The sequence below is a fragment of the Homo sapiens genome, chromosome 2 (genome assembly GCF_000001405.40).
Source record: "Homo sapiens chromosome 2, GRCh38.p14 Primary Assembly".
Taxonomy (NCBI): domain Eukaryota; kingdom Metazoa; phylum Chordata; class Mammalia; order Primates; family Hominidae; genus Homo; species Homo sapiens.
The window spans coordinates 89,898,012-89,919,558 of record NC_000002.12 but is presented as its reverse complement, the minus strand read 5'-3'; the positions used below and the strand labels follow the sequence as shown (position 1 = coordinate 89,919,558).

General features: G+C 42.5%; 1 pseudogene, 1 gene segment (V, D, J or C) and 1 further gene, besides 4 other annotated features; all 3 read right to left on the bottom strand.

Moving 5' to 3' along the window:
- The window catches only part of IGK (immunoglobulin kappa locus), a 1,378,008-nt gene that overhangs the window by 315,810 nt on the left and 1,040,651 nt on the right, over positions 1–21,547 (bottom strand).
- On the bottom strand, positions 5,014–5,488 carry IGKV1D-33 (immunoglobulin kappa variable 1D-33). The segment is given in 2 exon segments: positions 5,014–5,309; positions 5,434–5,488. Coding segments are annotated over 2 exon segments (351 nt in total), but the record flags the coding sequence as incomplete, so codon positions are not given.
- Positions 5,299–5,309: a sequence feature (IGKV1D-33 leader sequence).
- Positions 5,434–5,488: a sequence feature (IGKV1D-33 leader sequence).
- On the bottom strand, positions 12,268–12,800 carry IGKV3D-34 (immunoglobulin kappa variable 3D-34 (pseudogene); annotated as a pseudogene). The gene is given in 2 exon segments: positions 12,268–12,566; positions 12,752–12,800. Coding segments are annotated over 2 exon segments (348 nt in total).
- Positions 12,556–12,566: a sequence feature (IGKV3D-34 leader sequence).
- Positions 12,752–12,800: a sequence feature (IGKV3D-34 leader sequence).

Below are 21,547 nucleotides of genomic sequence, written 5' to 3'. Positions count from 1 at the left end.
GCACACATATATGTATAAACATATGTTTTATTCCTGGAATGTCAACCTAATGATTTTCAACAATCTGTAGTGTATATGTAAAGTTCCATTCTGATTATTCTGTTGAGTATTGCTACATATGTGTATCCTCAATACTAACTATTCCTGTTAGATGTTTCCATAAATGAGCTAAGTTGTATTTTATTTCTTCTGATTTAAGTATTATTTCTTCTATGTTTTTGTTTCTTTATGATTTTCTAAGTATTCATATTTATGCAGTCAATTTTCATTAAATGCGTCTATATATGTGGATGTTTAATAATGTATTAGCTTTTCAACAATAATAGTTTGTAACAAACCACTCAAAATGCAGAGGCTTACAATACTAGTATTTATTTTCATGTTTACGGATGTTCATATTAACAATAATTTAGCTGATCTAGACAGGGCTCAGCTGCGTGGTTGTGCTGTAGGTCGCTGAGCTTATCTCTAATATATGGATTTTTTTTTAATTGGGGTCAAGACTGAAGGAGCAGTGATCAGCCAGGGCAGTTAACAACATCCTGAGGTCAAGCTACACAAGCAAATTTAAGTCCCATCAGCTGCAACACACGTATACAATATGTGGGTTTCTTCTTTTGCTTTAGCAATTACTCAAGGTTCTAAAACCTTTTCTCCAATTAAGTTTCAAGGTATGTGATCATGTCACTGACAAATAATTAAGTATTTCAACCTTCAGCATTAAAAAAGTAAATTTATTCTTAAATTAATTAAAGTTAAATCAAATTGAGTAAAAAAAATTGGATGTGTTTTCAACATGTGACTTTAATCAGATTTTCTTAAATTGACATGTTGGATAAAAACAACAAAAATTTCTTAGCTGAAGTAAACATTCCCTAAAACATAGCTTCTTAAACCTTCAATGGATCATCTGTTATCTTATGAAAATACAGATTCCCATTCAATTGATCTAAGGTGGTTTTGCTGTTTTGAATTGGTAACATGCTCTTAGTGTTGCTACTGGGTTCTGGACAAATTTTGAGTAGCAAGGTTTTTATATTAAAAAAAAGAATAAGAATGTTACATCTGTGTGTATACACACACACACACATATATATATACAAACACATATAAGCAAATGTACACATATATATGTATGAACACATTTTATTTATGGAATGTGAACTTAATGATTTTCAATAAATCTATATTATACTATAAAATCCTGTTCTGATTACCTATATATATGCATACACACACAGACACACACACACATATTTTATATATATAATACATATTATATATTATGATATTATATATTGTATATATTATATATGTATATAATATACTATTATATATTATATATTAATATAATTTTATTAATATATATATTATATATATTATAATAGTATATATAACATATAATATAGTATATATATTATATATTATATATAAAATATTTATGTGTGGGTGTTTGTGTATATATAGGTGTGTGTCTGTGTTTGTATGCATATATATAGGTAATCAGATTATATATATATGTGTACGTATATATACACACACACATACACATACAGGTATTCAACAAAGGTTTTTTTTGGTCCAATGATTGCTATATTATTTAGTGCAATTTCTATTTTTTTTTTTAATATGCAGCTTTTTATTCCTCACCCCCCCCACCCTCTCCACTTCTGTCTCCAATGTTCATTAGACCACTCTGTATGCCTCTGTGTACTTGTAGCTTAGCTCTCACTTATAAGTGTGGACATAAGGTATTTGGTTTTCCATTCCTGAGTTACTTCACTTTGAATAACCGCCTCCACCTCCATGCAAGTTGCCGGGAAAGATATTATTAAATTTATTTTTATGGCTAAGTCATATACATATACATATATATATATGAGTCAACCATATACATATATATATATGTATATGAGTCAACCATACACATATATATATAATGTTTATATATATAATGTATACATATAATGTTTATATATATAATGTATATATATAACGTTTATATATATAATGTATATATATAATGTTTATATATATAATGTATATATATAATGTTTATATATATAATGTATATATATAATGTTTATATATATAATGTATATATATAATGTTTATATATATAATGTATATATATAATGTTTATATATATAATTTGTATATATAATGTTTATATATATAATTTGTATATATAATGTTTATATATATAATGTGTATATATAATGTTTATATATATAATGTGTATATATAATGTTTATATATATAATGTGTATATATATAATGTTTATATATATAATGTGTATATATATAATGTTTATATATATAATGTGTATATATATAATGTTTATATATATAATGTGTATATATATAATGTTTATATATATATGTAATGGTTTTTCTTCCTCAACTTTTACTTTAAGGTCCAGGGCACATGTGCAGGTTTGTTACATAGGTAGACGTGTGCTGTGGTGGTTCGCTGCACAGATCATCCCATCACTTCAGTATTAAGCCCAGCATCCATTAGCTATTCTTCCTAATACGCTCCCTCTCTTCCTCCTTCTCCCTCCACCACAGACCTCAGTGTGTCGTTTCCTCCCGTGTCCATGTACTCTCATTGTTAGGCTCCCACTTATATGTGAGAACATGCAGTGTTTGGTTTTCTGTTCCTGCCTTAGTTTACTGAGGATAATGGCTTCCAGCTCCATCCATGTCCCTGAAAAGGGCATGATCTCATTCCTTTTTATGGCTGCATAGTATTCCGTGGTGCATATGTACCATATTTTCTTTATCTGTTCTATCATTGATGGGCATTTGAGTTGATTCCATGTCTTTGCTATTGTAAATAGTGCTGCAATGAACATACTCATGCATGTATCTTTATAGTAGAATGATTTATATTCCTTTGGGTATATATCCAGTAATGGGACTGCTGAATCAAATGGTATTTCCAGTTCTAAATCTTTGAAGAATCACCACACTGTCTTCCAGAATGGTTGAAGTAATTTACATTCTCATTAACAGTGTAGAAGTTTTCCTATTTCTCCACAACCTCCGCAGCATCTGTCGTTTTTTGATTTTTTTTTTTAATCTGAGAAGGAATATCATTCTGTCACCCAGGCTTGAGTGCAGTGGCATGATCTCAGCTCACTGCAACCTCTGTCTTCCAGGTTCAAGCGATTCTTGTGCCTCAGCCCCTCAAGGAACAGGGATTTCAGGCATCCACCACCACCTCCAGCTAATTTTTGCATTTTTAGTAGAGATGAGATTTCGCCATATTGGCCAGGCTAGTCTTGAACTCCTGACCTCAAGTGATCCACTTACCTCGGCTTCCCAAAGGGCTAGGATTACAGGTGTGAGTCACGTTGCCTAACTTATTGTTTTTTGACTTTTTAATAATCGCCATTCTCACTGGTGTGAGATAGTATCTCATTGTGTTTCTGATTTGCATTTCTTCAATGATTAGTAATGTTGATCTTTTTTTCATATGATTATTGGCCTCATGTATGTCCTCTTTTAAGTGTCTGTTCATGTCCTTTGCCAACCTTTTAATGGGGTTGTTTTTTTTTCTTGTAAATTTGTTTAAGTTCCTTATAGACTCCGGATATTAGACCTTTGTCAGATGAATAAATTGCAAAAATTTTCTCCCATTCTTAATGTTGTCTGTTCACTCTGATGATAGTTTCTTCAGCTGTGCAGAGGCTTTTTAGTTTAATTAGATCACATTTGTCAATTTTTGCTTTTGTTGCAATGCTTTGGGCATTCTTGTCATGAAATCTCTGCCCGTGTCTATGTCCTAAATGGTATTGCCTAGATTTTCTTCTAGGGTTTTTATAGTTTGGGGTTTTACACTTAAGTCTTCAATCCATCTTGAGTTCATTTTTGTGTAAGGTGTAAGGAAGGGGTCCAGTTTCAATTTTTGGCATATGACTAGCCAGTTCTCCCAGCATTATCTATTAAATAGGGAGTACTTTCCCCATTGCTTGTTTTTGTCAGGGTTGTTGAAGATCAGATGGTTGTAGGTCTCCAGCATTATTTCTGAGTTCCCTATTCTGTTCCATTTGTCTGTGTATCTTTTTGTACCAGCACTATGCTATTTTGATTAATGTAGCCATGTAGTTCTATTTATCATATGACTAAATATCATTTTCATGCTATGATTTCAAACTTACTCATAGTATATGGAAGTACATCCAAGTGTATTCTGAGGCCATCACTTCACTGAAAAAATCCTGAGAGTCGAGATACATGACCACACTACGATGTCAGCTGTCACTTCCCCATCATCACTATTATTCTGGAAGCACATTTGCCAGAAACCCTATGCCTTCTCTGGTTTTTGGTGGAGTTGCCCAGTGTGGGGCCTGCCCTGAGATTGAGAAGTAAGAAGAGGAGGATTCAATACTATCCATCAACACCTGCAGCAAGACATATGGACCGAGGTGAGGACTGCAGAAGCACCTGATGAAGTCCTCTAGGCAGCTGAGAGCATCTGCACCCCCACCCATGGGCTTCTCAGAAAGGTCTGAGGACCACATGATTGGCAGTTGTACCTTCTCTATCAGATGCATTCTGGATTCCAGAAGAGAATTCCTCTTCTCTAGTATTTGCGTCTTTGACTACTATACTTGCAAACCTTTAAAAGGCTGTAGTTTAGATTCTCACATCTTGTATTTAAAAAAAATCCTACTTGGAATACCTAGAGTGGCTCACTATTGCTACATGAATTCCAACTGATGCTACAACTCAGACCCCTCAGGTGTAACCATTTCTTCTCAATGAAATCAGGAGAGGCATTGCCCTGTCTATGATACTGGGGATTAGGACAAGGAAAGACAGCTACGATGAAGTGGGCCTTCATGGCCCTTTTACAAAAACTCTCCAGTGAACTTCAAAGTGTGACTGCAATTTGAGAAACATTCTCAGCAGGCGAAGGCACCAGAAGGGGCATCTGGGACAGCTGAGCCTCACGCATCTGCTCCCCTGGGTGATTTATGTTATGACTTGTTACACTGTGGGAGGGAGATTATCATACTGTTGACAGTAATATGTTGCAATATCTTCAGGCTGCAGGCTGCTGATGGTGAAAGTAAAATCTGTCCCAGATCCACTTCCACTGAACCTTGATGGGACCCCTGTTTCCAAATTGGATGCATCGTAGATCAGGAGCTTAGGGGCTTTCCCTGGTTTCTGCTGATACCAATTTAAATAGTTGCTAATGTCCTGACTCGCCTGGCAAGTGATGGTGACTCTGTCTCCTACAGATGCAGACAGGGAGGATGGAGACTGGGTCATCTGGATGTCACATCTGGCACCTGCGATTAGAAACATAAACACAAATATTCATACTATTAGTCATATTATAGGAAGGCTTCCATCAAGAGCCAGGCTGTACTGAGCCCACTGGCTGAGAAAATTCATAGTGTTATCCTTCCTTACCTGAGAGCCAGAGCAGCAGGAGCCCCAGGAGCTGAGCAGGGACCCTCATGTCCATGCTGTGTCCTGGTTGGGACTGACTCCTGCACAGGGTGCGACCAGCCTATTAATAAGTCTTCAGGGCAGGGGGCTGTGCTCTGCGAACATGCAAATCAGCAGGGGATAGGGCAGGCTGGGCACAGCTGCAGGGCTGGCTCTTCTCAGTAACTCAGCATAGGAGCAATGTCCCCAGTGTCCCAGGTCGGACCAGGGCATCACAGATTTGTCCGTAAATAAGTGTTTCTTCCTGGAGGCTGTTTGGTTACAAAGAACTTTTTTGAGTTAATTGTCAAAATTTGAAATATTCCTGAGGACTAGATGGAGTAATGTATTTTATTCGTGTATGGAGATGGAGATTATTTTTTAAAAAATACAATATGCACTTAATTGGAAGAAAGCACTTTGTGCTGTACTTACAACACTTCTGTTAGCATGAAATTATTCTGTTTTTAGAAAGGAAACTAAATAGAAAATATATCAAGATTGCAATCCCTGTCTACAGGCTATGCCTTTCCCTTTCGCTGTACTGCTGCTGACTTCCAATGGCCATCTATGCCCCTCATTGCTCTTTCTGAACCTGGAGAAGGCAGCTCTGCCTGCATGCATAGCAGACCACAGGGGCTCGAATGGCCCTCTCTTTGGGCAGTGTTATGGTTTCACTGTGTCCTTCAAAACCCATCTGTTTTTAAATTTATCTCAAAGCAACAGAATTGGGAGGTGGGGCCTAATGGGAAGTGTTGAAGTCATGAGAGCTCTGCCCTCATGAGTGGATAAATGCCACTATAAACAGAGCTTGTGCTGTGGAACCGAACTGGAGTCCACTCACTCAGCTCAGTCAGATCAGATATTCACATTGAGTTTGCAGCAGGAGAAAGTAAAGGTTTGTTTGTTTGTTTGTTTGTTTTTTTGTAGGGCATCAGGTAAAGAGAATCAGGCAGCTAAGATTCAAATCCTGGCCTCACTGATGGCTTGCAGGTAAGGGTTTTTTAAGGCAGGAGTAAATTTCAGGAAAGCAGAAGTTACAGGTCAAATTGAAAATTAATACATGGAGGTCACATATTGGTTTTGGCCTAAAAGGGCAGGATATCTTGAAACAGGGGCTTACAGATCAAGGGTGGATTACAAGATTTCTAATTTACAATTGGCTAAGGAAGAAAAGCTTTGTTTAAACATTTGGGTTCAGCAGAAGAGACGAATTAGCTCAGGTTTATGGATATGACTTTTACCAGACCCCTCTGTAAGATATTTAGAACAAAGTACCATGGTCAGAGCTCAGTCCCCAGTTCTCCCTTTTGTGAGATCTATGTGCTGGCAGATTCATTTGGAGGGGGTCTTGTTTCCTCAAAAACACCTCAGAGACATATACTAAAATGTCACCTTCAGTTTCTATAGGGGAACCCACCATCTTCTGAGTCTAGCTTATTTGGCCATTTTAGGCTGTTTTTACTTCCTTGCTTATCACGTTACTTACTTACGTCTTAAGGCTAGGTAGGTGCTTGGAATTTCCTTTGAAGAGAGTCAAGATTTTCTATTCTTTCCATGCTTGGGGTGTGGGGGTTGCAGGCTCCTGAGAGTGAGTCCTTGCTCTTTCCCATTTGTGGGAGTAGGGTTTCTCTCTCTCTCTTTTCTGCTCTTCAGTCATGCTAGGACATGGACTTCCTTCCTTCTGGAGGACTCGGGAGTCATAGTGCCATCTTGAAAGTAGATAAACTGATTCCTAATCTGACAGTTCCTTGATCTTAGACTTCCCATCCTCCAGAAGTGTGAGAGAATAATTGTCTGCTCTTTATCAGTTACAATTTCAGGCATTCTGTTATACCAAGACACAGCAGACTAAGAGAGACACTATCAGTAGATGATAACAGGAGTATGATAACATACCCCAGCTCTCTCCCCTCAGATGGAATAGCCCAGAGGCATTGTCCCGATATTTCCACATGGGATGAAGCTTCAGTCATCCTAAGAGTTAAGTGGCTTTTAGGGGAGACTTTTGCCACCCATCTTCTATTTCCTGCTACACTTTCCTTCTTCCCTCCCAGTGTAAATAGGCTGCATGCACATAGTTCCTTCTTGCTGGTCAGCCCAGTTCAATGTGGAACAAATCCTTCAGGAACCCTTCAGCCAGGGTAAAAGTCTGAGAGACCAAAGCCGTAGCGCAGGGCCTGGGATCCTAGGTCGACTTTCCTCAGTTCTGTCCTCACTGGTCCTGAGTGGCCAGGACCCTACTAGTGCCAAAGAGGGAGGGTCATCAAATGTCTCCAGAGTCTTTACTCAGCCAGACTCTGTTATAGTTAGAAGAAAAAGAAGCACATGCTAAATAAATAAACATAAATTATTTGTATATGCATATATGTAATTGTAACACACTTTACAAATTAAATATATTTCTATGCTATTTCAGATGTAATTTGTATTAATATATTTGTATATCTTATACATATATAATACATATAATATGCACTTTTCATGTAAATAAATATAATATGAATTGTTGTTATAAGGCATGGTTTTAAACTTTGGTAAATTGAGCATGAACAAGAAAATCCAGCAATAGTGCCCCACCCCATGGCCACTTTCCCACTACAGAGCCCAAGGGTCAGAGGCTCAGGACTCACTTCATTTCCTTTCTGGGTCAAGCCCTGACTCATAGATTGCTAAGGATGCTGAGGATTGCTGAGGATTGCTAAGATTGCTAAGGGTCTGGGGAACACAAAGCAGCAGGTGCCGAGGAGGCAGGGAGTGGGCCTCGGCTCCTGGTAGAAGGATGTTTTGTACCCAGAGCTCAGCATGGGCATTTTGTCCCCTGGGGGTCCCTGTAGGACAGAGCAGCACATGTGGCTCATAGAATTAGGCTACATGTGGCTTATAAGAAAGGCTTACAGGTGTGGTCACAAGACAAAAGCCCTCCATGGCTCGTTGGCAGCCTCCCCTCTAACTGGAGCCATATGGGATCTCTCTGCCCAGCTTCTATGGCACACACAGCTGCTGGAACTCTGTTCACAATGAAACATTTCTCCCCCATGCAAAACCTTCTGAATATTTGTTATTTTTATTGTGTGTTATTCAAGGACGACAACTTGTTGACCATAATATTTCCAAAAGGATTCATGGAGTGAAGTCAAAACTAGGTTGTCAACACTGTGACAGGATGTGAGAGAAACAAGGATCACATCCCTGAAGACAAGGGCAGCTCATGTGTGAGGCGAGGATAAATTGGCCTTATAAATTCAGAGCAGGATGTGGGAGAAAACACATTGACATTCTCTACTCTGTGATGCTCATCAGATGCTCAGGAGGTGCCCATACGGAAGGTGGGAAGCTAGTGGGAGGAGAAGGGGGTTTAAGATTTCAGAGCTGCCTCCCATTCTGCTCCACTGAGAAGGCCCCAGATCTTCAGCAGCACTCCAGGCAGAGCAGGAGCTGGGGCGAGGTTTGTGCACCAGTAATGACGGGAGGTGGGGGCATGTGCCCCTGAAGGCAGCTTGGATGCTGATAGTCAGAATGACATCTGTCCAAGCCCATGGCCCTTAACCAGGGCAGGCATGGTGTCCAGGGGATAGCAGGAGCTCAGAGCCAGGCCTGGGTTCCGTTGGAACTGAGCTAGGATGCTGTTCATACTCTGGTCAGCCCTGCTGGTGAAAGTGACCCTCTCACTTGGGACGCCGGGATAGGGGCTGGATACAGGGTCCACACGATGTTGCCACTGGCATCTAAGTGGGAAACAAACATGAACATTCCCAAATATTAATACCAAAGAAGTAGTTCATTCAGTTTGATTAAGTTTCAATCAGAAAGCAAAACAGGCTGAAAACAAGTAAATCTTTCTGCTTAATGCAAACGAACTGAGGATGAAGCCGCAGTCCTCCCTCCTCATCAGAGTCAGAACAGCAGCAGGAAGAGGAGCAAAGGCGGGCCCCATGTCCACGAGGGCTTCCTGATACTGATCCTACTCAGAGAGGGTAGGTAGGGTGGAGTGTTTGCAGGGATTGTGACACCAAAATGGATGTGACTGGATGGCTTAAACCACAGAAATGTTATTTCTAACAGTTTAGGAGCCTAGAAAGGCAAAGCTCAAGGTCCAGAAAGGTTTTCTTGCTGGTGAGGACTCTCTTTTTAATTTGCAGATGTTACCTTTTGGCCATGTCCCCACATGACCATCCCTCAGGGCACGCAGGGAGGGTAGGGGAGGGAGAAAGCTCTATAGTGTCTCTCTTTATAAGGACAGTAATCCCGTGGTGTCAGGATCCTGCCCTGATCACCTCTTTAACCCTAGTTACCTCCTAGCAGGCTCTCTCTCCATCTGCAGCCATATTGGAGGTAAGAGATTCCAAATAGGAATTTGTGAAACATAGTTCCTTCCGTAAGAAGAGGGCTTTGGGGACACAGCCAAGGCAGTAGGGAGGGGCAAGATGAGGCTTCCGGTCTCAGAGCACAGGGGATTTTCCCATCACTAAGCACACTGGCAGCTCCTCCCAGGCGAACCATGTCAGACAGGAGACCCCAGTCCCGCCTTAGGGCCTCCCTGTCCATAAGGGGACATGATCACTTTTACTTCCTCATTACTTCTAAGATCAGACGTCTATCTTTTGTTTATTACGGTGTTTGTCTGCCATCTATTGGCCAGTTTCTAACATAGCATCTTACAGGATGTTAGATACTAGGGTCCAGTGAGCGTTGACTATGGATGAAATCTTTTCATGGGTATTCATGGAGTTGATCTTATGACATCCATCACTAGGACAGATTTTGTAGAAAACACGAAATGGCCCCTCCCCTCAATAAACCAGTCATCTAGTTGAGGACAAACGGTATGCAGGAAAAATATTTGTCACAAAACAATTAGGGTGGCTAGATTCTGGGATCCATGTGACATGCCAAAGATGTGGTTTTGGAAAAAAGAGAGGGCTGTAAAGGACCCTGTAGGGCATAATGGCAGGGACTGGGGTGAGAAGCTGACGGCCCCTGGTTTGGATCTGTCAACCCAGCCTCATTCCTCCCATCCCAGAAACACTTCCAGAGCAGCTCTGAGAACCACAGTAGCTTTCCGAGCTGAGGAAGCATCCGGGGACACCTGATCTTCTAAAAGAACAACTGCTGAGGTTTGTGCTCTCAGCTATAGCACTGCGAGTAATCAGATGTTATCATTTACATCTGTGCTAAGCAAAGTCATTTTCTAAGATGATGAAAATGTCTGTATGTATGAAGTGCAATAGGCTAGTCATTAGTCCTTTGTGGCTGCTGAGTACATGAAATGTACCTGATGTAACTGTGAAGCTACTTTTCTAATTTTAAGTATTTCTAATTGACACATCTGTGGCTATCACTGCTAGTGTTTCCCACGTGGAACAGCACAGTTGTAGACAGTAATAACCAGTAATGTCACTGGGACACCCAAGCTTCTAACTGTTAAGCAAAGGTGTGTCCCAGGACCACTGTACCAAGCTGGGGTGGACCATGGCCAAGGTAGACAGAGCACATGGGTGGATCTCAGGAACCTTCCCTGGATGCTTCCAGGCTGGTGATGGAAACTGTCCCTCTTGGAGACACTGATTGGGAAGCTGGAGACTGGGGCCCACATAGTTGCCTGTAGAATCTGAGGTGGAAACAAAACACAGATCTTCCCCAGTTAATGATGTCCCTCTCCATAGGCTTCCCAGCAGAGTCCTGCTGGCTGATCAAGTGGGAGGTGAATGCTGGGCTCCCTGAACAATGGCCTCAATCTGAGCCATTGTCCTATGGGACATATGAACTCTGTCATGTGGAGCCCCCTTAGCTGAAACCAGGGAACTAGAACCCAGAGGGCCAGAGCCCCATGTCCAGTGTCTAGTGCTGCCCCTGCCTATGGTGATCCCAACTCAAAGACAGAGACTGACCCAGTGATAAGGGCTTGAGTGGCAGGGAAGGGCTCTGGGGAGCCTGCAAACTGTCAACAAAGGAAAGACCTGGGCTTCCAACTTCTGAACCAGGGAACATTCTATGCCATGGGAGTGACCCAGACCAAGGTGTATGATGTAAGATATTACAGTAAGTTTTATCTTTACGGGAATAAAAATCAGAGAAGGCATCTGATTAGTTTAGCACTTGCTGACTTTTTCAGTACACACTGGTCCCTGCCCTTCCCATAATGATCCCGTGGTCTTTGCTGTTTTTGTGGTCACCTGGCTGCCTCCTCACCACTCAGATGAATCTTCAGTATGACCCTGGGGCCTTCCCTGATCAGCACAAATATATGGCCTCAGCCTCCAGATACCACAGACCATTCCTGCTTTTTACACAATTTGTCAACTACAGAAATTATTCTACGCACTTTTATTGTGTGGTTATTCTTCCTTCATGGCTCTTTCCCCTACTGAATTGGGACCCAAAATTGTCTTATTTACTCACGTGCACCTAACCTTCACTCGGTGGCCTTTACTTGTTCCTGAAAATGCTGCCATTAAGTGAAAATTTATTAAATGAAAAGCTATGTTTGTTCTACTCTATTGGAAAAAAAAAGAGTGAGCCACTGTGCCCAGCGGCACCTGTGTCTTTAAAGGCATCCATGCAGGTGAGTCTGTCTGAAGGCCTTGCAGTAAAATTGATTCAAAACCTAACTCTGTAAATAAGTCTGAGAAAAATACAGACATTGGAGTCACCATCTTGACAACGAGTTACTTTTCAGAATTTCAAAATTTCCAAATAGAGGCACAGTTGCTAAAACTGAGCAGCCATCATAGCTGCAGCCCATAAAGCTGCTGGTTTTAGAAAAAAAAAATCAATGGTTTTGTGAAAGTTTTTGTTTCATGTTGAATTACTGTGGGACACCCACTGCTGTACTGATGAGGGTAATAAAATTGTGACATCTTCAGGGTCTAGGCTGTTGATGGTTGGGGTAAAGTCTGCCTCAGGCCCACCACCACTGAACCGGGCTGGGATGCTGGTAGCCTTGGTAGATGCCCTATAAATAAGGAGCCTGGGAACCAGAACAGGTTTCTACTGGTCCCAGGCTGAATAGTTGTCAATGATCTGACTGGCCTTTCAGGTGAGGGTGGCTCCTTCCCCTGGGGACAAACACAGGGTGATTGGGGACCATGTCAGCACAACTTCTCCAGTGGTATCTGAGATTGGAATAAAACAGGAAAGTCAATTGTGCAATCTAGATCAAATCCACTGTCTTCCCAGTACAGCTGGGATCATTGATGTACATTGAATATTAATTATTGTTCTTGCTGAGCAGGTCACAGGACCCAATAACATTGACAGAGTTTCACTGGCATGCAGAATCATCCCGTGTTCCCCTCACCTGGGAGCCAGAGTACCAGAAAGGAGAGGAGCTGAGCTGGAACTTCCATGGTTCCCTCTGGGTCCTAACCGAGCAGCTCTTCCCGAGAGCTCTGACCCAGGCATTGATATGGGCTCTGGACAGCAGAGTGGCTGGAAGGATATGCAAAGTAGTTGGAGTGGGTGCTGGGCTTCCAGCTGCAGAGACCCCCTGCCTCCTCCTCTCTGCACTCAGCAGCCCCTGCCCAGGTGGTCAGGCCAGAAAAGTCCATTGGCTCAGCCTGATGGTAGAACTTCTTCCCTGTGGTCACAGACTATAGCCCCTGTTTCTTCCCGTCTCACTAGTCACCTAGACCCAGCCAGATGGTATTTAGTACAAACCTGTTGGGAATAAAATAGAAGCCTGTGGTTCTTTTCCTCTCCTTATTTCTCCAAAGAACCGAGTCATCTCCATTGGTGCATGAATGTACCTGGCTGAAAACTAGTTCATCAGAAGTTCATCTTCCACACACACTTTTCCTTTGCAGCTTAGCCATCTTTCCTATGAGCCCTGAAGCCTCCTCATTCTTTGTAAAAACTATTAAAGGGCAACACGCAATTAGGCCCAGCACTGTGGGTGTGATGATCATCACGGCTGCACAGATGAGCAGGCCCCGGGCTCAGACCCTTCAGTGTGTGTAATTCCATTCCCTGCAAACAGACGACAATGCTGTCCAGCAGGCCAGGAACAATTCCTTGGGTGATGCCCTACTTTCTATGCCACCCCATCCTGCACAACACATCCATTCAATCAGACTCAGGCCTTTCTCACTTTAATAATTTTGGAAACCTCTGCTCATGTTTCTGATCTAAACAATAATTCAATTTGGGGTTTCCTTGTGTTCCTTAAAATTGTGAGCATTTGGTGGTAAGTGACAGTTCACTGGACAGGCTGAGAAGCTCTTTGGGTTACATTCCATCTGAGTTCATTAATAGACATTGCAGAAATTTGTTTTCTCTCTTCTCTAAGTACTCACATAATATATTCAATTTTGCATCTTGCCTCACCAAACCTAAATATTTATTATCTGACTCCTGAGATAATCTGATAATACTGTCTTTTAACTAAAGAGTCAATAAATTTACTATAGTTGTGATTAATATGTGTTATTATATATCATATTCTATATAAAATTTGATAAATTAGAATACAATAATTATTATATGCTCTTGGGAAATACTACCAAATTATAACTCGAGACAAAGTACAAAAACAAAGCTCTGAGAATTATGATTTTTATTTTATTTTCTGAAGGCTGAGGATGAAACAGGAATAAAAGAAAAGAGAACGTTGTCAATAAAACAAGCTGCTTAATCCACTACTTAGTTCAACCATTGTGGAAGACAGTGTGGCAATTCCTCAAGGATCTAGAACTAGAAATACCATTTGACCCAGCCATCCCATTACTGGGCATATACCCAAAGGATTATAAATCATGCTGCTATAAAGACACATGCACACATATGTTTATTGTGGCACTATTCACAATAGCAAAGACTTGGACCCAACCCAAATGTCCATCAATGATAGACTGGATTAAGAAAATGTGGCACATATACACCATGGAATACTATGCAGTCATAAAAAAGGATGAGTTTATGTCCTTTGTAGCGACATGGATGAAGCTGGAAACCACCATTCTGAGCAAACTATCACAAGGACAGAAAACTAAAGACCACATGTTCTCATTCATAGGTGGGAATAGAACAATGAGAACACTTGGACACAGGGTGGGGAACATCACACACTGGGGTCTGTCGTGGGGGCGGGGGAGGGAGGAGGGATAGCATTAGGAGATATACCTAATGTAAATGACGAGTTAACGGGTGCAGCACACAACATGGCGCATGTATACAAATGTAACAAACCTGCACGTTGTGCACATGTACCCTAGAACTTAAAGTATAATTAAAAAAAAAAAAAAGACAGATGGAAGAAGTGGGTGGGAGCTGAGGCCAGGGGAGGGGCAGATGAGCCAACACTTGATTTTTTTGTCCCAAATTGTGAAGACAGTTAGAGATTAACCCTGAATTAGGGTTTATCCCACCTACTGAGTCAAGATATGACTAAAAAATGATTTTCATATGACACCTTGCAAAACATTTCAAAATATCCCATAAATTTAATTGAGAAAAATACAAACAAAATTATAAAATACAGCTATTTGTATACTTTGGCCTATTTTGTCACCTCACTCAGCCCACAGCAAATATACTTCCTTGGTGAGTGCAAAGAGTAAAATGAGAGGCCAAGGTGGACCACCGGGGGCCAGACAAACCCTCCATGAGGGCTGAGGACCACAGATCCCCGAGGACAATCAGACATCCAGAGGGAGGGCTGAGGACCACAGGCCCCTGAAGACAATCACAGGTCTGGAGGGTCTTAGCCCATGACTTTCCTCTGTAGAGACAGATTCTCCCAGATGGTTGAGGGCTGTCTGTGGCTGTGTCCTTCCTTCCGCATGATAATGGGGGCAGAGCAGGTCTCTAAGCAAACCCTGAGCAAGGCCTTCCCCTGTGTGCTGCTCTGACCTGGCCATAGGTGGAACTGGATTTACTTAAGGAAGTGATTTTTGATCATGAGGAAAGGAGAGAGAATGGGGAGAAAGAGAGAGATAAATTGTGTATGTATGCACAGAAAGATTGGATACTTTAATAAGTTAGTTCCTTGATACCTGTGAGTGTTACCTAAATTGAGCAAAAAGACTTCACAGATGTCAATTAATAATATTAAGATGGGGAGACTATCTGGATTAACCATAATGGCTCTAAATGCAATCACAAATGTCCTTGTAAGAGAGGATGTGAGAAGTTTAACACAGACAGAAGAGAAGGCAGTGTGACCACAGAGAAAGAGACGGGAGTGATGTGACCGCAGCCAAGGAAAGCTGCAGCCACCAGAAGCTGAAAGAGGCAAGAACAGAGAGGCAAATGCCATTCTCTCCCTGTGTGTGTTTCCTGTAGCTCCTCTATCAAATCTCCACATCCTTGCTGGCTTCAAACAGCATCAGTTTATTCTTTTACAGTTCTGGAAGGGAGAAATCTCACACAGGTCTCACTGGGATAAATGAAGCTCTCACTGGGCTAAAAGTAAGCTTCCCTATGGATGCTGGGGGAAAGAACTTTTTCTCTGGCCTTTTCCAGCTTTTAGAAGCTGCTGTCTTTCCAGGCCCCTGGCCTTTCTCTTACATCACTCAGCGTCTTTCTTCCTTGCCAAATCTCCTCCCCAAATCTGATCCTCCTGCCTCAGTTTTGTAAGGACACTGGTGATTACATGTGACCCATCTAGATAATCTTCTCATCTCAAGATCTTTAGCTTAATCACATCTGCCAAGTTTCTTTTGCCATATAAGGCAACATTCATAGGTTCCACAGATTAGGCACAAACATCTTTTTTTTTTTTTTTTTTTTTTTTTTTTGAGAAGAGATGGGGAGTGCTTTACTCACACTACCAATCATTCTTATTGGCCCCAAACTGTCCTTCTCTAAACAAGAATCCAAAATCACATAGCTGGAAGAAGGATAGAATGTGGGCAACCAACATCTTTATAAAGCAAGAGAGCTGGAGAGATCTGAGTCAGGGTCCTCTGGTCTGGGGTTTCCCTGGGCTGGAGGATTCTGCTGCTGCTGCTGCTGCTGCTGCTCCAATGTGGACCTCACATGTGTAGCTATTTGTTAGAGACTATTCTGATTTTGGGACCCAGAAGAAAAGAATTGCTACTTAATTGCAATCTAAGAGAGATTGGTAAAGGAAAATTAAATGTTTCCCTAACTTTCTGAATTTTTCTACCCGTAAAAAAAGAAATCCCTAGAATTTAGATAAAGATACCTCTACACATGAGAATTTGCCTATTGTCTTAAGGTGGGTCTTACAATGACAAGAATTCCCATGCTGACAACATATTTACAAAGCACAGAAAACCCTGGGAGAGAAGGGGGAAAGTGAGGCAGGGAAGACATGGCCAGTGAAAAGCTCATCAATAAGCAGCTGCTCATGAGGACCATGAGGACCACTAAAGCTCATGCCAATGTAAAAACACAAGAACCTCTGGGCTATTCTACCTGAGAGATGAGGGAGCTGTGGTATGTATACACCTCCTTTAGTCACCACAGATTGAGGGCTGTCCTAGGGGATGCTCATTCCAGGCTCTGAGGTCTACCATGCATGAAGTCAGAGGTGCCTTCTGTAGTTTCAGGGAGAGCAGCGAGGGGCAGATATCACCATGAGAAGTCAGCAGAAATGCAGAAAAGAATTAGGACAACTACTGCTACATCCACTCAAAAAAGATGTGTATGTGAAATCTGGAGGGTCCATGTGGGCCACATCTCTCTGGAATGCAAGAATGTGCCCTAGAAATTCAGGCTGCATGACAGGCAGCAGGGATTCTGTGCCCACACTGCACCACCATTGCTTGGCTACCCATAGTCAAGCATGCAGTTATACTCCCCGTAGTCCCCAGGCTCCAGGGCATTGATAGTGAAGGCATAGCTGGTTCCAGTTCTGCTGCCACTATACTGGGCTGGGATGCCTAGGACCAAGGTAGTGACATGAGATGTAAGGGGTTCAAGTCTTTGTCCAAGTTTTTTACTGATTCAAGATATTTCTCCATGTACATTGTTGCTGGCTTAGCAGGAGACAAAAACTCTCTTTCCTGAATGTACTGACAAGCAAGCAGTCTCCTGTGTTGGGATGATTTCCCCACTCACTGCAAAGAGTAAAAGAAGAAAGTGGCATTGATGGTGAACAGCAGGAATATGCACCCAGTTTTAGCTGCCCTCACTGAGGAGAGAGGGTTCACTCACTTAGCCTTTCCCCAGGTACTCCCCCTCAACTGCTCTCCAAAAAGCCAGGCCCCAGGGGAGCTGCTTCTGAGCCACCAGGAACATGCTGGTGAGGAGTGCTCAGAGCCTGGGTAGCGCTTGAGGCATCAGACTTTATAGAGACTTAGGTTCAGGGAAAGGCATAAGGCAGGTGCACACTAAAAAGAGGCACCGAGGGAAGGACTTACTAGACCTATGCAGTTGCTGGGTTTTGACCTAAGACTGGGGCCAGTACGCTTGTATGGAAATGAGCAATATTTAGTGGAAAACTTTCCTCTTTTGACAATGACCAGAAGGAAAATGATGCCTCTACCTGGAGGGAAAGGCAAGAAGAAGCACATCTCTTGTGATACTTAAGTTCATGGTCAGCCTAGAATCAGACAAGGCATTAGTTCAACATGCAGAGGAGACTGACTGTCAGGAAGTTGGGGAATCCTTGACATTAGGAAGGATGTTAGTAAAATTGGTATAAACTTCAGTAATTACTGTTTTTTCCTTCAGGCCATGGACTCTGGTGTCTCACTTTTGAGGCTACCCTCATACTTCTTGTGATGAAGCTTGCTTCATGTAGACTGGTTCAGGGCCTGACAGCCATTGCTTTGAGGGTTATGTGGAGCCATCACTGAAGGTGAATCTCAACTTGAATGACAGATGGTGGTGGCCACTGATGAGATGGGGCTTCCTATCTAAGAATCAACTCAGGTTTCTTGGCTCTTTGATAAATGGTTCCCATGCTTGGATCTTAAGGTGGAGGCCACAGGTCTGAGTTCTAAGTCTTTTCTTTCCACACCAACAGCCTTTCCCAGGAATCACCCTGGCCTCCTCCATGCTGGGAATCTAGACCCAACCCTCCTGCTACCTTCCCCAGCATCCAACAGTAACTGTCTGGAAGCTTTTATTTGTAAACCCTCCAAATGCAACCTCTGCCGGCAACATGGCTGGAGCAGTCAGCATCCTCCCATCAAAAAACACTGAGAAGGAGGGGAAACCTGCAAACACCACGGTGGTGTGGAGGAGATGCATGTAATCCTTAGATTTTATGTGTTTTCAAACTTTTTTGTCTGTTTCTTAACCATGGTTCTATTTTCACAATCTTGCAGAGGGAAGAATTGAAGATAAGAAGGGTTCTTTTATATTTAGAATATGAAAATAGAAATGACGACAGCAGGAGAATGGAATTTATAAACTCTTCGAAGCGGTTTGGGTTTCTCTAGCCAGGGACACAGCAGGACCAAGATGCCAGGAGAGGATATCACTTATTTTGGTTCCTGCCCTTCATGCTTCAGACTCCCACAAATGCACACATATGATAATGCCTGTCTTCTTCTAAAGAGCAGGTCTAAGGCCCAGCCGTGGTCTTTCACTGAGTATCTTTTCTGTCTAAATGAAAATAATTTTGGAAGTAGTGGAAACAAATGATAGCAATGGCTTAAGCAAAGAGGTCCAAAGGTTGGAGCTTTTCGAGTTGGTGAAGCATCTTGGCAACAGCAGAAAGGCCCCAGGTTCTTTCTCTATTTCTACTTTGCACCCCACCACATTGGCTTTGCAGACGTAGGCTCACTGCCTCATGGTCTTAAGATGGCTGCAGCGGCTCTAAGAATCAGTTCCTCTCATCATGATTACTGGAAAGAATGCAGGCCAAAATTCTTCACCACCTTCTTCTTTTTTTTTTTTTTTGAGATGGAGTCTCACTCTGTCGCCCAGGCTGGAGTGCAGTGGCACAATCTCGGCTCACTGCAAGCTCCGCCTCCCGAGTTCACGCCATTCTCCTGCCTCAGCCTCCTGAGTAGCTGGGACTACAGGCGCCCGCCACCTCGCCCGGCTAATTTTTTGTATTTTAAGTAGAGACGGGGTTTCACCGTGTTAGCCAGGATGGTCTCGATCTCCTGACCTCGTGATCCACCCGCCTCAGCCTCCCAAAGTGCTGGGATTACAAGCATAAGTCACCGCGCCCGGCCCCACCTTCTTCTTTTTATAAGGGATGAAAATTCTTCCCAGAATCTCTGCTCATCCCTCACTCCCTGACATCTTATTGTGGAACCAAACTCATGTCCCCCTAATTTCTGTTCCTGTCCTGGGCTGAGAGAAACTTTCTGTCCTCCCCATGCACAGCAGGACAGAGTTGGTGCCCAAGAAACCAAAGGAGGAAGATGGCTGCTAGGCAGGAGGCCAAAGCCTCGACACATTTAAATTTCACCTTGTGTCTAAGCCAACCTGGATGAAGCAGAAAGATCCCAACATTCTCTGAATCTGGTGGGGTTGGAACAAGCCAGGCCTTGAGGATGACAATGAAGTCAAATTTCTAATTTTCCACATGACAATGTTAGCTTCAGCAGTTGAGGAAATGTAGCCTGGGAATTTAAGGCCGGGACATACTTCCAAGTACTGGAATAAATGAGGGAGAGATCTGCAATAGGGACATGGGGGAGCAGTGGCTATGGAAGAAGGAGGAAAGCTGTGTGCTAAGGTTGGTGGTGCCACCTGCCCACCTGAGTGCAGCCCTCCCTGTGCTGGTTGCATCCCCATTTCAGTCTCATGCAGACCCCTCTGTTTACATGACTCCAGGTGCTATTTCTGCTCCCATCCACCCTGTGGCTTTCTGTCATGAGTACATATCTTCTTACACTTGAACCCTCTGGTATTCATGATATCAACAGCAATGTGATAACACCTAACAGAATGCAGACATTCCCTTTGCATATAGCAGCATGCTCACCTCTACCCAAAAGGTGAAAAAACTCAAATCTGTTCAGTCCAACACCATCTAGGAAAAACTGACCTTCCCTCATGAGTCACAAGTCAATCTGGATATCATTTAATCTGTGGTATAAATTATATAGGTGACCAAAACAGCACTTTGTATTAAAAGAATTTTAATAAAGGGACAGTTGAGAAAAAAATATTTAACATATGTAAATGTGTGCGTGACTCATTCAGATTTCATGAGTTGGTTTTCTCTGTATTCTTTTTATCCCCTGGCCTCCAGCACGATCTTTATGGTCGTTTCTGGTGAGGCTAACCTTCATGTCTCTGGCATTCAGGGTCCCAGATGTGACTAAGGCTCTGCACATGAGATATGCCCCTGCAGAGTGGTTTTCAGAAGTTAATAAGGGAAGGGGAGATGCCTTCCAGAGGGGCTCATTCTCCTGGTCTGGGTCCTGGCCAGGCAGCACTGTCCTGTGGGCACAGCATCCTGCCTCACAAGTTTCCTGTCACAATCAGAGGATTTTTCTGCATAGAAACGCAGGAAGAAACAGGGAAGTGAAATGAATGCCTGAGCCCACTCCTCTGCTCTTTCCATCTGGCTTAGTTCACCTAATCCATGACAATAAACGCGAGTTTGCTTCACCAGCCATAATGGCTTCTCTTGTATCTGACTGCTTCGATGACAGAAGAAGGAAGAAGGAATGAGTGGACTGGCTCCTGTACTTCTCTACTATGAAGCTGACCTAGAGGCTGTAGCTGGTGTTCACATCTCCTAAGTTCACTGTGCGTTTCATCTCCCCTCTGCTGCACTAGTGTCTAAGTACATGTGATGCTTCAGCTGTGTTACTTAAAGCTTCACTCTGGTGTCTGTAGAAGTTTCTCTTCACTTTTACCAGTGGAAATGGTGGTAAATGGAAACATTCCCAGCTGGGCACAATGGCTCATGCCTGTAATCCCAGCACTTTGGGAAGCCAAGCCAGGTGGATCACCTGAGGTCAGGAGTTTGAGGCCAGCCTGGGCAACATGGTAAAACCCTGTCTCTACTAAAAATACAAAAAAAAAAAAAATTAGCCAGACGTGGTGGCAGGTGCCTGTAACCCTAATCCCAGCTACTCAGGAGGCTGAGGCAGGAGAATTGCTTGAACCCGGGAGGTGGAGGTTTCAGTGAGCTGAGATCGTGCCATTGCACTCCAGTCTGGACAACAAATGTGAAACTCTGTCTAAAAAAAAAAAAAAAAAAAATCCTGAAGTT